Here is a 16,224-nt window from a genome sequence, read left to right on the forward strand (position 1 = left end):
TGCTTTTTTCTTCTTAAGTAATATACTTTGTAGAAAATTTGGATGAGGTAACAGCTTTGTTTTGAATCATTTACAACATGAATTTTTTCTCATTTGATTTTTAAAGTCAGGTTTATTGAGTTTTAATACATATATGGTACAAGTCACCCTTTTTAGGTGTAAAGGTTTATGAATTACAATAAACTTACATAGTCATGTAACCACCACAATGTAAAATTTTCCTTGTACCCTCTGTAGTCAGTCCTGTCCCTCCACTACTAGCCTTTGGTAAACACTGATATATTTTCTGTCCCTCTAGTTTTTGCCTTTTCCAGAATGCCATATAAGGGGCATTATGTAGTATATAGCCTTTTGTGTTTGACTTCTTGGTACTAGAAGTCCTAATACATTTGAAAATCATCAGTGTTATTGTGTTTTGTCAGTACTTTGTTCCTTCTTATTACTGAGTAATATTCTAGAGTATGAAAGAATCATAATTTGTTCATCCATTCACCAACTGATGGATTTCTGGATTGTTTCTAGTTTTAGGCAGTGGTGAATATGGCTGTAAACATTTGTATACAGGTGTTGGTGCAACCTAAGTCTTCACTCTTTTGGGTAAATTTAAGGGAAAAGATCAACTGTTGTACCCTGGTAACAGTGGATGTATCCACATAGGCTGCATAGGCCAGTGCTTGAACTGCATCTGATCTGAATCTTGGCCGAGCACTTTGTGATCCTCTTGGAATATAAGATTATGGAAGTTTGCGAGGACCTTATGTGAAGCCCTTTCTCAATCTCTTCATCTGCCGAGGAGGCTGTACGTGATAACAGTGCCTCATCACCTCCTAGTTCCCATGAGATGAGGCTCTCTATTGTACCCTTTTAGGTAGTAGCTGCAGGCTGTAAGACTTTAGTTGCAGCATGGCATTGGCTCCTCCGCAACAGAGTGTCATATCTATGTTGTAGTCACCTGGCTCCTTTTGTTTTAGTATTGCTTTACACAAGGGCTGTATCTTTTACTACTATTCCTTCTGCCCTCCATGTAAATGGTAGGCTTTCTGAACCTAACAAGCAGTTGGGCAGGTCTATCACATTGCCTTCTCTTTGCCTTGACAATAAATATCTAATAGTGGGATTATTACCGTATGGTAAATGTGTGTTTAGTTTTATACAAATTGCCAAACTCTTTTCCAAAAACGATGGTACCGTTTTGCGTTCCCACCAGCAAAGATCCAGTTGTTCTTCATCTTTGTCAGCATTTGGTTTTGTCAGGTTTTAAAATTTTAGCTATTCTCTTGTTAGTGATGTCTCAAAGGCCATATATGACAAGCCTACAACTAACATCATACTCAACCATGAAAAGTTGAAACCTTTTCCTCTAAGATCAGGAATAAGACAGTGGTGCCCAGTGTCACTAGTTCTATTTAATCAAGTACTGCAAAGTACTAGAAGTCCTAGCCAGCCAGTTAGGAAAGAAAAATAAACAAAAGGCATCAAAATTGGAAGAAGTTAAATTGTCTCTGTTTGCAAATGACATGATTCCTTATGTATACAAAACCCTAAAGACTCCACCAAAAGACTGTTAGAATTAATTAACGAATTTAGTAAAGTTGTAGGAGACAAGATCAACATACAAAAATCTGTTGTGTTTCTACATATTAACTACAAACGATCTGAAAAATTAAGAAAACATTTCCATTTATAACAGCAGAAAGAATAGAATACTTAGGAATAAATGTAATCAAGGAGGTGAAAGGTCTGTACACTAAAAACTATAAGACATTTATGAAAGTAATTGAAGAACATGCAAATAAATGGGAAGATATCCCGTGCTCATGAATTGGTAGATTTGATATTGTTAACATGTCCATACTACACAAAGCCATCTACAGATTTAATGCAATCTCTATCAATATTCCAATGGTATTTTTCACAAAAATAGAAAAACCCTAAAATTCATAGGAAACCACAAAATACTTTGAATAGCCAAAGCAGTTTTGAATAAGAACAAAGTTGGAGGTATCATACTTCCTGATTTCAAACTATATTACAAAGCTATAGGCCTGGCATGGTGGTTCATGCTTGTTATCCCAGCAGTTTGGGAGGCCTAGGTAGCCAGATCACCTGAGGTCAGGAGTTCAAGACCAGCCTGGCCAGCGTGGAGAAACCTCATCTCTACTAAAAATACAAAAATTATAGGGCATGCTGGCACACGCCTGTAGTCCCAGCTACTCAGGAGGCTGAGTTGGGAGAATCGCTTGAACCCAGGAAGTGGAGGTTGCAGTGAGCTGAGATCATGCCACTGCACTCCATCCTGGGCAACAGAGCGAGACTCTGTCTCAAAAAAAGCTATAGTAATCAAAACAGTGTGTTACTGGCATAAAAGACATGTAGACTAATGGAACAGAATGGAGCCCGGAAATGTAGCCACATCTGTGCAGTCAACTAAGCTTTGATAAAGGCACCAGGTACACAATGGGGAAAGGATAATTCAGTAAATGGTATTGGGAAAACTATATCCACATGCAAAAGAATGAAATTTGATTGTTATATCACACATACAAATTAGCTAGAAATGGATTAAAGACTTAAATGTAAGATCTGAAATTATAAAACTCTTTGGTATGGGTCAGATGTTTGTTCCCTTCAAATCTCTTGTTGAAATGTGATTCCCAGTGTTGGAGGTGGGTCTTGGTGGGAGATAATTGGATTATGGGGGCAGATCCCTCATGAATGATGTAGCACCATCCCTTTAGTGATAAGTGAGTTCTTGCTTGGTTCACGTGAGAACTGGTTGTTTAAAATTAGTCTGGGAGCCCCCCCACCATGTGACATGCTGGCTCCACTTCTGCCATGATTACACCTCACCAGAAGTACGTGCCAGCACTGTGCTTTGTGTAAAGCCTGCAGAACCAAGAGCCGATTAAACCTCTTTTCTTTATAAATTACCCAGCCTCAGGTATTCCTTCATACGATCATAAGAATGGACTGATACACTCCTAGAAGAAAACATAGGGGAAAAAGCTCCTTGATTCTGGTCTTGACAATGGTTTTTATAAATATGACACCAAAAGCACAGGCAACAAAAGCAAGAAAAGATGAGAGTGACTACATCAAACTAAAAGGCTTCTGCACAGCAAAGGACACAAAATGAAAAGGCAATTTATGGAATGGGAGAAAATGTGCAAACCATACATCTATCTGATAAGGGGTTTATATCTGTGTGTGTGTGTGTGTGTGTATATGTATATATATATATATATATATATATATAAATATATATATATATATATAAATATATATATATATATATATATATAAAGGATTCATACAACTTAATAGCAAAAAACCAAATAACCAGATTTTAAAAAGACCTAAGTAGACATTTTTTCAAAGAAGACACACAGGCGTCCAACAGGTATGTGAAAATGTGCTCAACATCACTAATCATTAGGGAAATGCAAGTCAAAACAAAAAGGAGCTGTCACCTCACACTTGTTAGGGTGGCTATCAAAAGAGAGATAAGTGTTGGCAAGCAGGTGGAGAAAAGAGAATCCTTGTGTGCAGTGAGAATGTAAATTGGAACAGCCATTATGAAAAACTGGTTCCGGCCGGGTGTGGTGGCTCATGCCTGTAATCCCAGCACTTTGGGAGGCCGAGGCAGGCAGATTACCTGAGGTCAGGAGTTGAAGACCAGCCTGGCCAATATGGTGAAACCCTGTTTCTCCTAAAAATAAAAAAATTAGCTGGGTGTGGTTGGCGGGTGTCTGCAGTCCTAGCTACTCCAGAGGCTGAAGCAGGAGAATTGCTTGAACCCGGGAGGCAGAGGTTGCAGTGAGCCGAGATTGCGCCACTGCACTCCAGCCTGGGCAACAGAGCAAGACTCCGTCTCAAAAAAAAAAAAAAAAAGAAAAAGAAAAAAAGAAAACCCAGTTCTCCCTAAAATTAAAAATAGGACAAACATACAATCCCACTTCTGGGTATATATCCCTAGGGAATGAAATCATTATCTCAAAGAGACATCTGCACACCCATGTTCATTTCAGCATTATTCATGGTAACTAAGATATGGAAACAACCTAAGTGTCAGTGGATGAATGGATGAAGAAAATGTGTACTGCATGCACAGTTCTCCTTCAGTCTACATGGGGCATTGGTTCTAGGACCCCCAAGTATACCCAAATCTGCATATACTCAAATCCTGCAGTCACCCTTGTGGAACGCGTGTATATGAAAAGTCATCTGTCCCATCTGTATATGTGGATGAATACTGTATTTGTTTGAAAATAATCTGTATATTGGACCCACACAGTTAAAGGGTCAACTGCATATGTAATAGAATATTATTCAGCCATAAAAAGAAGGAAACCCTGCTATTTGTGACAACATGGATGAACCTGGAGAACATTAGGTAAGTGAAATAAGCCAGGCACAGAAAGACAAATACCGTATGATTTCACTTATATGAGGAATCTAAAAAGATGAACCCATAGAATGAAGCAGATAATAGAATCTGCTTCTATTATCGGCCAAGGGCCGTTGGGAGGTGGGGAGAAATGGGGAGATGTTAGTCACAGGGCACAAACTTGTAGTTATAGGATGAATGTGTTTTGGGGGTCTAATGTACTGTGTAGTAACTATAGTTAATAATATTGTATACTTGAAATTTACTAAGTCAGTAGATTTTTTTTTTTTTGAGACAGCGTCTTGTTCTGTTACCCAGGCTGGAGTACAGTGGCATGATCACGGCTCACTGCAGCCTCACCTCCCCAGGCTCAAGTGATGCTCCCACCTTAGCCTTCCGAATAGCTGGGACTACATGTGTGTACCACCACACATGGCTAATTTTTGTAGTGACGGGGTTTCGCCCTGTTGCCCAGGCTGGTCTCGAACTCCTGGGCTCTACCCATCCACCCACCTTGGCCTCCCAAAGTGCTGGGATTACAGGTGTGAGCTACCATTTGCCTGGCTGAGAGTAGATTTTAAGTGTTGCCCACTCCCCGCTCCCACCAAAGATAATCAAGAAATGATTATCTTGATTGTGATAACCATTTTACAGTTTATGTGTGTATCATGTCATCATGTTGTACACTTTAAATATATACAGTTTTTGTCAGTTATACCTCAGCAAAGCTGAAAAAAAAAACCCAAAGCAAACTGAACCAAAACAATATTGCCTGCAAGCCACAAACAATCAGCATCTAGCCTTGACATCATCTCCTGTTACACTCCTTTACCCTTCTTTGTTCACTCAACTTCAGCCACTTTGGCATCCTTTTCTTGAACATACCAGGCATACTTCTGCCTCAGGGCCTTTTTGCTTTGTATTTGTTATGCCCTCTGCCAGGAGTACTCTACTCCAAGATAGTTGCATGATTGGTTCTTTTACTTCCTTCAAGCTTTTGCTGATACATCACGTTCTTGATGACCCCTTCCTGGCTACTCTGTGTAAAATTATAACATACTCCTGCCCCTTGCTCACTCTCCCTTTGCTTATACTTATCCTTCCATGCTTTTTTTACGCCTACATATTTTCTCTTAACATACAGTGTTTCTTATTTATTTGTGTGTTTTCCCTCCCTGGTATGTGAGGGCAGAGATTTTTGTCTCTTACTCATTTCCAGTACCTGGAACAGTGCCTGGCACAAAATAGGCACTCCGTAAATATTCGCTAAATGAGCGAATTAGATCTTTTCTAGTAAGCATTAGAAAATGTCGGAGGGCAGTGAAATAAATTAGTTTTGGGCCAGGCTCAGTGGCTCACTCCTATAATCCTAGCACTTTGGGAGGCTGAGGCAGGCAGACTTCCTGAGCTCAGGAGTTTGAGACCACCTTGGCCAAGATGGCGAAACCCCATCTCTACTAAAAACAAAAAAATTTCTCCGGGCTTGTTGGTGTGCACCAGTAGTGCCTCGGGAGGCTGAGGCACGAGAGTTGCTTGAACCCGGGTGGCAGAGGTTACAGTGAGCCTAGATTGCACCACTGCACTCCAGCCTGGGCAACAGAGCGAGACTCCATCTCAAAAAAAAACAAAAGAAATTAGTTTTGCAAATTTGAAGAGTTGATAGATTTATGCTCTGGAAAATGAAAGTTGGCAAATACTTTTTATTTGTCCAGAATATTTAATGTAGATATGGCCAACAGAATTGACACTAATATTCCACATGTGGTTGGTGCTTTAGGGTTAAGCAGTTTATTTACAGTTACTTAGTGCAGGACTTACTCAATAGTGGAAGCTCATCAAATGTCTGAACTGATCTACAGCTTCCTGGGAGGTATAAGCAAGGGAGATATTCCTATTATAACATATTAGATGAGACAACTCAAGTTTACCTCTGACTCTGCTAAACTAAAATTCTGTGAAGAGAGGAATTATGTTCATTTTTTTTTTGCCTGTTATGTCCTCATTTCTTAGTGTTCAGTAAATTTTTGTTGAGTAAAATGAACTTATGACTCACACCATTTATTTTATTATATGTTTTTTTCCTTCCTGGTCGTTCAAAAATAGTTATTGAGCATCTTTCCATTCTGTGAGGTCAGTGGTAAGTAACTCATGGACCAAGTCCAGTTCTGTTACCATTTTGATTTCTATGAAGAATCTTCGTTGTAAATTTTGAATTAATGGAGTTGAACTGCATATAATATGGGACTGTTTTTTTGTTTTTCTTGATGTTATGTGGCCTTACCCACTTATGTGTTGAAGGCTTTTCATAAAGGCAAGGAGATAGGTTGTTAGGAACCTACGAAACAAAGTTGAATAGGGGAAGCCAACAAGGGATGCCAGCATCTTTCAATATGTAGTACCACAAGTTTTCTGCCAGCAGATAGTGCTTAAATAGTGATTCCATGTCTCCCTCAAAACCTTTTATTTATTTATTTATTTATTTATTTATTTATTTATTTATTTTTGAGACAAGGTCTCACTCTGTCATCCAGGCTGGAGTGCAGTGGCGTGATCTCAGCTCACTGCAGCCTCTGCCTCCTGGTCTCAGGCACTCCTTCTGCCTCAGCCTCCTTAGTACTACTGCTGGGATTACAGGTGCTCGCCACCATGCCTGGCTAATCGCCCTCAAAACCTTTTATTCTGAATCTAGAAGAGCAGGCTAGGTTGACAAAAATATTTAAATTGCCTGGCTTGATATAATGTCTATACACACACACATCTCATTGTTTTTGAGAGAAAAGGAAGTTTAAATTTATGGACATGAAATTTATATTATTTCTAGTTTTTTAATCATTCATGCATTTGTTTATAATGCATTAACATGCATAATTATGAATTTTATTCATGTGTAAATAATACAGTCTATACCGTTAACAAAAGACCATGAGATCTGTGGAAGAAGAAAAAGGAGAACTTTATTTCCTATAGAGGATTACAGCCTGCAGATTGGGAAGTGGAGCCTCCAGCCAAAACTAAAAGCAAGCACCTGGGGAGGCTGAGGCAGGTGGATCACGTGAGGTCAGGAGTTTGAGACCAGCCTGGCCAACATGGTGAAACCTTGTCTCTACTAAAAATACAAAAATTAGCGGGATGTGGTGGCACGCATCTGTAGTCCCAGCTACTCGGGAGGTTGAAGCAGGAGAATCGCATGAACTCGGGAAGCGGAGGTTGCAGTTAGCTGAGATTGCGGCACTGCACTCTAGCCTGGACGACAGCGAGACTATGTCTCAAAAAACATAAAAAAATTTAATGTTAGCAGGTTAGTTTGTGGTACAAACATGTTATGTGCATGTAATGACAAGGCATTATATTCCAGGTTTTTTTTTCCTTCTTTTGAAATGAGTGATTAAAGATAGAATTTCTAGGACTATTTATTTATTTTTGAAATAGAGATGGGGTTGCTCAGGGTGATCTCCAACTCCTGACCTCAAAGACATCCTCCTGCTTGGGCCTCCCAAAGTGTTGAGATTACAAGTGTGAGCCACTATGCCCAGCACTTCAGAGTTATTAATGAGGTTTAAAAACATGTTTTTAGAAGTAGATTTAAAGCTCTCTGATTGAGATTGGTTTAATACTATTTGATGTTATTTGCATATAGGCTCTTCTGACAAAAATATGTTAATTAAATCATGTCCTCTTTGGCCACTAATCAGGTCCCCTTTCTCCCTTTCCAAAAGTAACAGTTTTTGTCCAAGTTAGTTAAAACACTATTTTTTGGTGTATGTGGTGGCTCACACCTCTAATCTCAGCACTTTGGGAGGCTGAGGTGGGAGGATTGCTTGAGCCCAGGAGTTTGAGACTAGCCTTGGCAAAAAGACGAGAGAGACCCCGTCTCTACAAAAATTACAGAAATTAGCTGGATATAGAGGTGTGTGATGGTGTCCCAGCTAGTTGGGAGGCTGAGGTGGGAGGATTGCTTGAGCTCAGGGTTGGAGGCTGCAGTGACCCTTGATAGTGCTTGAAATGTCAAATGTTACTATTCATTTATATATTTCCATTTGGTTCTTACTCCATAGTAAAGCTTAGCGCTTCAACTGTTTAGAGACAGTCTTATTGAGCAGCATAAGTTGTACCATCTTACAATTATAAGAAAAGACTATAGGCCATTAATAATATTCATAGAAAGGAAACAATCTTTAATAATAAAACCCCAACAATGCCAGTAATTGCTTTAAAGTACTAATGATGTATTTCCTGATGAAAAAATCAAGAACAATATAATTTTTAAATTTTTTTTTCCTTTTTTTTTGAGACAGGGTCTCTTGCTCTATTGCCCAGGTTGGAGTGCAGGGGCGTGATCATGTCTCACTGCAGTCTCTGCCTCCTGGGTTCAAGCGATTCTTCTGCCTTAGCCTCCTGAGTAGCTGTGATTACAGGCAACTGCCGCCACACCCGGCTAATTTTTGCTTTGTTGTTGTTGTTGTTGTTGTTTTTGTTTTTTTTTTTTGAGTCGGAGGTTTGCTCTTATTGCCCAGGCTGTAGTACAATGGCATGATCTTTAGAGGTGAAGCCAGCTGGGCTTCTGGGTCCGGTGGGGACTTGGAGAATTTTTCTGTCTTGCTAAAGGATTGTAAACACACCAAACAGTGCTCTGTGTCTAGCTAAAGGTTTGTAAGCGCACCAATCAGCACTCTGTAAAAACGGACCAATCAGGACTCTGTGTCTAGCTAAAGGTTTGCAAGCGCACCAATCTGCACTTTGTAAAAACGCACCAGTCAGCGCTCTGTGTCTTGCTAAAGGTTTGTAAATGCACCAATAAGCACTCTGTAAAAACGAACCAATCAGCGCTCTGTAAAATGGACCAACCAGTGCTCTGTAAAATGGACCAACCAGTGCTCTGTAAAATGGACCAATCAGTAGGACGTGGGCATCACAAAATAAGGGAATAAAAGCTGGCTGCCGGAGCCCGCAGTGGCAACCCGCCGGGGTCCTCTTCCATGCTGTGGAAGCTTTCTTCTTAGGCTCTTCCCCAGTAAATCTTGCTGCTGCTCACTCTTTGGGTCCGCACTACCTTTATGAGTTGTAACACTCACATTGAAGGTCTGCAGCTTCACTCCTGAAGCCAGCGAGACCACAAACTTATCGGGAGGAACAAATAACTCCAGACACGCCATTTTGAGAGCTGTAACGCTCACTGCGAAGGTCTGTGGCTTCACCCTGAAGTCAAGCGAAACCAGGAACCCACTGGAAGGAAGAAACTCCGGACAGATCTGAACATCTGAAGGAACAAACTCCGGACACACCATCTTTAAGAACTGTAACATTCACGGCGAGGGTCCACGGGTTCATTCTTGAAGTCAGCCAGACCAAGAACCCACCGGAAGGAACCAATTCCGGACACAATCTTAGCTCACTGCAATCTCCACCTCCTGGGTTCAAGCGATTCTCCTGCCTCAGCCTCCTGAGTAGCTGGGACAACAGGTGCCCGCCACCATGCCAGCTAATTTGGTATTTTTAGTAGAGATGGGGTTTCACCGTCTTGGCCAGTCTGGTCTCGAACTCCTGACTTCAGGTGATCCACCCACCTCGGCCTCCCAGAGAGCTGGGATTACAGGCCTGAGCCACCACGCCCAGCCCTAATTTTTGTATTTTTAGTAGAGACGGGGTTTCACCACATTGGCCAGGCTGGTTTCAAACTCCTGACCTCAAGTGATCCACTGGCCTCGGCCTCCCAGAGTGCTGGGGTTACAGGCGTGAGGCACTGTGCCCAGCAATATTTTCTTTTTTAATCAGATGAGTTTTGCTTTTGACAAAAATTTGCTTCTGGCCGGGCACGGTGGCTCACGCCTGTAATCCCAGCACTTTAGGAGGCCGAGGCGGGCAAATCACCTGAGATCAGGAGTTTAAGACTAGCCAGGACAACATGGTGAAACCCTGTCTCTACTAAAAATACACACGCGCACACACACACACAAACTGAGGCAGGAGAATCGCTTGAACTGGGGAGGTGGTGGTTGCAGTGAATGGAGATCATGCCATTCACTCCAGTCTGGGTGACAAGAGTGAAACTCCATCTCAAAAAAAAAAAAATTGCTTGTAATTCTATGTTGATTCCAAATAAGATTTCAGAATAGTAAGCTATTTCCCAACTATTTAAATCTTTGAGGAGTTTATTGTTGCAGATGTGCAAACCAGATAGATCTACCGGATGCTACTTTGGTATTTGGTATCTTTTTCAGGTTTTTGCTAACAACCACAAAAGACTATGTTTGTTTGTTTGTTTGTATATTAGAGGAAAATATTTCTGCAGCTTGGGAATATATGGGACTAATAGGCATGTGTATCACCAGTGTGTATGATACCATATTACTGCCTGAATGAACACATCAGCTGTAAGAAGGAAGGTGAGAATTTGAGAAATACTGGTCTGTGTTTTGGGTTTATCCATTACTGGAGTTGCACGTTTTCCCTTGTCATAATTCCTGTAGCTTTTAGCTCTTCCTCATTGTCTGTTGAGTTGAATTAACTCTTTCTCCCCCACCACATTTAACTCTAGGGAGTGTAAACTTGTGCTGTTCTCTTTCTCATTCCATGTTTCTGTTGTCTTTTAGTTAACATCTTGTCTTTGAGGGGAATGAATTAACTTCTTTAAGGGAAGTGAATTAACTACTTTGAGAGAAATAGGAGAAAGAGCAGGGACAAAATAATAACCTGTGGCCAAAAGGAGGGGATGTGATGTATGATGAAATGTCATTCCTTTATCTTATCTTATATTCTTGCAGTGCTAGCTGTTAAAATGGATCCAGTAGACCTTAAACCTAGGCCCTTGTTTGTGCTGCCCGACTTCATGTGCTATAGTGCATTTTAAAATTTATTCAGCCATTCATTTCTTATCTTATAAACTTGAATTTGTTTTAATTTTGTATAGTTTTTCTTATTTAGGAAGGACTTTGTGTTCTTACATGAGTTTCATATAATAGAGTTTGAAACTAAGCTATTAAATTATGATGATTGCCCTAACATGTGCATCAGGTACTTTTTTGTTTTGTAGTTGGTTTTATTGGAGCCATTGCATGTCCTAACAGGGTAAGGAGTGATCATATAGAAAGCAAGGAAGTGATGGGTTTGGTCTCTGGTCAAACCATAGAAGTGAGTTGAGTAATTCATTTTTGCTCTATTTTTCCATCTGAAAATGGGAAGGATGATATCCTGACTCCCAGTTTATGCAAGTTTTGTTCATAGATAAAGGTGCACTGGTTTTCACTCATCTTTTGTGTGAAATTTCTGGTGGCATAGGAATTTAGAAAGAAATCAATAAACTTGTGATTCTTGTTCTGAAGATACTTCTAGCCTTGTAATCCCATAATGGACATAAGACCATTACACGAAGAACCGTAGCATGTAGTAAATGGCATGATGACATTACCACCCAAGGAAAATGTGCAGTGGAAACTCATGGTTCAATTTGACAAGGCGTTTATCAATCTCCACCATGTGCCAAGCCTTTCTGGGCAGCTGAGAGAAGAGATAACAAAATAGTTTCTGTTTTAGAGAACAGGGAATAGAAATGATATAAGGATTGAGATGATATTTTTATAATACTTTAGGTTTATTCTGCACAGGCAAACTGTGTATTATACGACACATAACTTATGACACTTAGGTTTCTAACTGGGAAATTGTAGGTGCTTGTTTAGTTATTGGGTGTTGTTAATGGCTTTTTGGTTTGGCAGTTTGTCTAAGGCCTAGCAGTTGTTTGAGGAACATTTACATATAGGATTAACCTTTTGTAATGTTTTCAGAATCCTGCAGTTTCGATGCTTTCTAGATATTTAGGATTTGATCATTAACCAGGTGATAATATAAGCATGAAAAAAATGATTTGGGCTGGGCGCAGGTGGCTCATGCCTATAATCCCAGCACTTTGGGAGGGTGAGGTGGGTGGATCACTTGAGGTCAGGAGTTCGAGACCATCTTGGCCAACGTGGTGAACCCTCGTGTCTCCTAAAAATACAAAAGTTAGCTGGGCATGATGGCGGGTGTCTGTAATCCCAGCTACTTGGGAGGCTCAGGCAGGAGAATCGCTTGAACCCGGGTGGCGAAGGTTGCAGTGAGCAGAGATCGCGCCACTGCACTGTAGCCTGGGGGACAGAGCGAAACTTTGTCTCAAAATAATAATATTTTATGTGAAAATAAATGTAATAAAGGTTAAGCTTAGTATTTTAAAGTTTGTTTATTCCTAGGGAGTAATAGTTCCCACATTAAACATGAAGAGTTTTTCAAAACTCAGTGATCATTCTAATTGGTATGAAGCATGCAGGAGGTAATTAGCTTAAGATGCAATGGTGGAAAACATGCATAATTTATATACAAGCCTTGTTACATGTGCAGCTATGAAAGAGTTCTTTTTCATATGGTCAGTTATATGTTATATGTCGACAAGATAATTAAAAGTAGATTTATAAGCCAAAATTTAATGATGGTTAAGTTAATGGAAATTTTCCCTCAATTAAAAACATTCAACAATAATGTAATATCACCTCACCTGGGTGAAATGAGTTTATTTTATCTTATTATTTTTTTAATAGGCTTTACTTTTTAGAGCAGTTTTAGGTTTACACTGTGAAATTGAGAAGAAGGTACAGAGATTTCTCATGTATTTTCTTCCTCCCATCACGTATGTACAGCCGCCTCCATTATTAATATCTGTCTCCAGAGTGGTACATCATTATAATTGATGAATCTACACATCATTATCACCCAAAATTTCTTTTATTTTTAATTAAAAATTTTTTTAAAAAATAGTACAAAGCCCCCTGAACCTTGCTGAAGGTGTTTTTTTTTGTTTTTTGTTTGTTTGTTTGTTTGTTTGTTTTTGAGACAGGGTTTCACTTCCATTGTCTAGGCTGGAGTGCAATGGTGTGATCTCGGCTCACTGCAGCCTCTACCTCGTGGGTTCAAGTGATTCTCCTGCCTCAGCCTCCTGAGTAGCTGGGATTAGAGGCATGTGCCACTGCACCCGAGTAATTTTTTTTTTTGTATTTTTTTTTTTAGAGGTGGGCTTTTGCCTTGTTGCGCAAGCTGGTCTCCAACTCCTGAACTCAAACAGTCTGCCTGCCTTGGCTTCCCAAAGTGCTGGGGTTACAGGCATTAGCCTCTGAACCCAGCTGGTGCCCTATAACTCTTGAACACTTTAGTGTGTTTTTTCCACAAACAAGAATGTTTTCCTGATTAATCACAAAATAGTCATAACAATCAGGAAATAATATTGATATATTTCCACTGTCTAATCCTGAAGTCTCCATTAACATTTTGCCATGTTTTCCAGTGATATCCTTTCTTCTTTTTTGAGGCGGAGTTTTGCTCTTGTTGCCCAGGCTGGAGTGCAATGGTAGGATCTTTGCTCACTGCAACCTCTGCCTCCCACGTTCAAGCGATTCTCCTTCCTCAGCCTCCCAAGTAGCTGGAATTACAGGCACATGCCACCATGCCTGGCTAATTTTTGTATTTTTAGTAAAGACAGGGTTTCACCACGTTGGTCAGGCTGGTCTCGAACTCCTGACCTCAGGTGATCCGCCTGCCTTGGCCTCCCAAAGTGGTGGGATTACAGGTGTGAGCCACTGTGCCCGGCTGTGTTCATTTTTTTTTTTTTTTACGGCTGAATAATATTCTAGTACATGGATAATACCACATTTTGTTTACCCATTTGTCAGTTGATTGACATTCTGATTTTTCCACCTTTTGCCAATTATGAGTAATTTCATAACATATAACGTTATAAATATTCATGTACAAGTTTTTGTGTGGGCATATGTGCTCGTTTCTTTGGGGTATATACCTAAGAGTAGAATTGCTGGATCATATGGTAACTGTATATTTAACCATTTGAGGAACTGCCAGCCTGTTTTCCCAGGTAGTTGCACTATTTTCCATTTCCACCATCAGTGTGTGAGCGTTCCAGTTTCTCCACATTGTTGTCAGCATTTGTGGACTGTCTCTTTATTTAAATTCAATTAAATTTTTTGAGACAGAATCTCACTGTCACCTAGGCGGGAGTGCAGTGGTGCTATCTTGGCTCACTGTAACCTCTGTCTCCCGGATTCAAGCCATTCTCATGCCTCAACCTTTTGAGTAGCTGGGATTATGGGTGTGCATTACTATGCCCGGCTAATTCTCGTATTTTTAGTAGAGACGAGGTTTCACCGTGTTGGCCTGGCTGGCCTCGAACTCTTGACCTCAGGTGATCCTCCCGCCTCGTGACCAACCACGCCTGGCCAACGGTCTCTGTTTTTAAGAGACAGGGTCAGTCTCTGTCGCCCAGGCTGGAGTACAGCGGCATGATCATAAGCTCACTGTAATCTGGAACTCATGGGCTCAAGCAAGCCTCCAGCCTTAGTCTCCCTAGTAGCTAGGACTAGAGGTAGACACTACCACATGTGGTTACTATTTTTTCTTTTTCTTTCTTTTCTTTTTTTTTTTTTTTTAAAGTTGAAGTCTTAATCTGTCGCCCAGGCTAGAGTGTAGTGGCGTGATCTCGGCTCACTGCAATCTCTGCCTCCCGGGTTCAAGTGATTCTCCTGTCTCAGCCTCCCAAGTAGCAGGGATTACGGGTGCCCGCCACTGTGCGCAGCTAATTTTTATATTTTTATTAGAGATGGGGTTTCACCATCTTGGCCAGGCTGGTCTCGAACTCCTGACCTCATGATCCACCCGCCTCGGCCTCCCAAAGTGCTGGGATTATAGGCATGAGCCACTGTTCCCGGCCTTTTCTTTGTTTTTGTTGTGTGTTTTGTGTGTGTGTGTGTGTGTGTGTGTGTGTGCGCGCGCGCATACTTTTAGGTGTTATATATAAGAAACTATTGCCTAATCCAGAGTCTTTGAAGATTTTCTCCTAGGAGTTTTATAGTTTTAGCTCTTACATTTAGATCTTTGATCCATTTTGAGTTAATTTTTGCATATGTTGTAAAGTAGGGGTTCATATTTACTCTTTTGCATGTCACTATCCAGTTGACCCAACACCATTTGTTTAAAAGCCTTTTCTTTCCCTCGTTAAATTGTTTTGGCATCTTCGTCAAAAATTACCCATAAATGTGCAGTTTTATTTCTGGACTCTGAATTCCATTGATCTATATGTCTATCTGTATGCCAGTACTTCAGTGTTTTTATTACTGTACTTTTATAGTTTTAAAATTGTGACGTATCTTCTACCTTTGTTCTTCCGTTTCAGGATTATTTTGGCTATTCTATAGCCCCTGAATTTCCATATAAATTTTAGGATCATTTGTTAATTTCTGCCACAAAGGCAGCTGGGATTTTGACAGTAATTATATTGAATCTGTAGATAAACTTGGGGAGCCATCTTAATGATAGTAACTTTTCTGATCCATGAACATGGATGTCTTTTCATTTACATCATCTTAAAATTTCTTTCAATGATGTTTTGTAGTTTTCAGTGTTTAGTTTTTTTTTTTTTTTCCTTTAGAGATGGGGTCTTGGTATGTCATGCAGGCTGGAATGCAGTGGTGTGATCATAGCTCACTGCAGCCTTGAACTCCTGTGCTCAAGTGATCATCCTGCCTCAGTCTCTCAGTAGTCTGGGACTACAGGTGCGTGCTACTGTGCCCGGCTGATTTTCGTATTTTTTGTAGAGCCAGCATCTCACTTCATTGCTCAGGCTGGTCCCAAACTCCTGGCCTCAAGCAGTCCTCCCACTGTGGCCTCCCCAAGTGCTGGTATTACAGGAGTGAACTACCGCACCCAGCCGGTTTTCAGTGTTTCAGTCTCGTACAGTCATGCGCAGCATAATGATGTTCTGGTCAATGATGGACAGCATATATGATGGTGGTCCCATAAGATTA

General features: G+C 40.5%; 1 protein-coding gene across 122 annotated transcripts in view, besides 1 other annotated feature; it reads left to right on the top strand.

The window, feature by feature from the left end:
- Window positions 1-16,224, top strand: part of ABI2 (abl interactor 2) — a 103,776-nt gene that overhangs the window by 7,313 nt on the left and 80,239 nt on the right. For 8 of the 122 annotated variants that reach the window (NM_001375663.1, NM_001375727.1, NM_001375665.1 and 5 more), the window contains exon 2: window positions 15,849-15,972. The exons of 113 other annotated variants lie outside the window; for them this stretch is intronic. Coding sequence is in view for 1 of the 9 variants with exons in the window: in NM_001375719.1 (NP_001362648.1) it covers window positions 10,744-10,770 (27 nt within the window). In the remaining 8 variants the exon portion in view is untranslated. Of the gene's footprint in view, window positions 1-10,658; window positions 10,771-15,848; window positions 15,973-16,224 lie in introns of all 122 variants that reach the window. One more of the 122 variants, NM_001375719.1, reaches the window with a different exon arrangement.
- Window positions 9,393-9,893: an enhancer, noted in NCBI's record as "H3K27ac hESC enhancer chr2:204209822-204210322 (GRCh37/hg19 assembly coordinates)". NCBI's record gives its function as "activates a minimal SCP1, AML or CMV promoter by ChIP-STARR-seq in primed H9 embryonic stem cells {active_cell/tissue: H9 hESC(primed)}" and the evidence as "EXISTENCE:reporter gene assay evidence [ECO:0000049][PMID:30033119]".

This window comes from Homo sapiens, chromosome 2, assembly GCF_000001405.40.
Source record: "Homo sapiens chromosome 2, GRCh38.p14 Primary Assembly".
Lineage (NCBI taxonomy): Eukaryota > Metazoa > Chordata > Mammalia > Primates > Hominidae > Homo > Homo sapiens.